This window comes from Homo sapiens, chromosome 1 (assembly GCF_000001405.40).
Source record: "Homo sapiens chromosome 1, GRCh38.p14 Primary Assembly".
Classification (NCBI taxonomy): domain Eukaryota; kingdom Metazoa; phylum Chordata; class Mammalia; order Primates; family Hominidae; genus Homo; species Homo sapiens.
In genome coordinates, this window is record NC_000001.11 from 209,550,961 (window position 1) to 209,552,432 (window position 1,472).

Genomic DNA, 1,472 nt, shown 5'->3' on the forward strand with positions numbered 1-1,472 from the left:
CTGGGCATTATCTCCAAAGATGATTATTAAATTTGGTAGGGTTCAGGCATAGATATTTTTCTAATTTCCCCAGTGATTGTGGGGAACCAAGGCTGACAGCCACTGTGCAACCAGGGTTGAGAGCCACCAAGGTAGACAATATTTAGCATTTCCTCCTGCTATAACTTTTTATTTGTCTCTTATATTCTATGAGTAACCTAAGATACATATTCTCTTATATTCCATGTCTTATATTATATTCATATGTCTTATATTCTATGAGTAACCTAAGATACATATGTCTACACTGAACCCCAGAATGTAACTATCCTCTGGGGATGTCCTCTGGCTTCGTGTTCTCTGGCTTCATGTTCCGGCCCACAGGCTGGTACCTTGCTCCCTTAGAGAGACTGCCTGTGAGGGCTACCCTTCTGCCTGTCTCCAGAGTGTTCCAAATGTCAGCCACTCCCCAGGCCATCCCATCTGTGGGGCCACATCTCTGTGGCCACTCTCCTCATGCCAGTAGGCTCTGGATTCATGCTGGAACTTCTGGGCCCCTTAGACATGGGTTGAGCTCACTTGTTCAGAGAGCTCCATGCATCAGAATAAGAGGAGGAACTGACAGCCTAGCCTGTCCCTATAGATGCCCTGTGGCAAGACTCATTTCAGATCCCAAGACTTCTCTCATCCCTCCCTCCTGCCAGGGCTGGGATGAGGGGAAAACAGGAGGAACACCTAGGAGGTGCCCACCCTCAGGGTCGGGCAAGCCCAGATCAGCACCCAGAGAGGGGGTGCCTTCTTATATTTTGCACCCTGGTCCCCTCACTCACCTCATCCCTGTCCCAGTGCTGCCTCCTGCCCCAGGTTGCCATAAATATTGCAGGTCCCTATGAAAGACTAAAGTAGGACACTGTCAACCCCAAGGGCTCCATGAAGTTATTCTGTCACTCAGCCAGTATTTATTGTGTATCTCTAGGTTATAAACGCAAAGCAGACAGAGTTCCTGGCTGTCAGGAACTCACAGCATAATGGGGAAGGAAAACCTATAAGCAAGAAATAACACAAGACTGGCCAGACCAAGTCCTATAACAGAGTAACATGTGGAAGGCAGTGGAGGTTGGGATTCCTTACAAAGAGAGATGGTACGGAAGCCTTCAAGGAGAAGGCACAAGTTGACTATCCCTTATCCAAAATGCTTGGGACCAGAAGTGTTTTGGATTTTGTATTTATTCAGATTTGGGAATATTTGCATATACATAATGAGATATCTTGGGGATAGGACTCAAGTCTAAACATGAAATTCATTTATATTTCACATATATCTTATACACATAGCCTGAAGGTAATTTTATACAGTATTCTTAAATAATTTTGTTCATGAAACAAAGTTTTGGTTGTGTTTTGACTGTGACCCATCACACGAGGTCAGGCGTGGAATTTTCCACATGTGGCACCATATCGGTGCTCAAAACATTTCAGATTTTGAAATATTT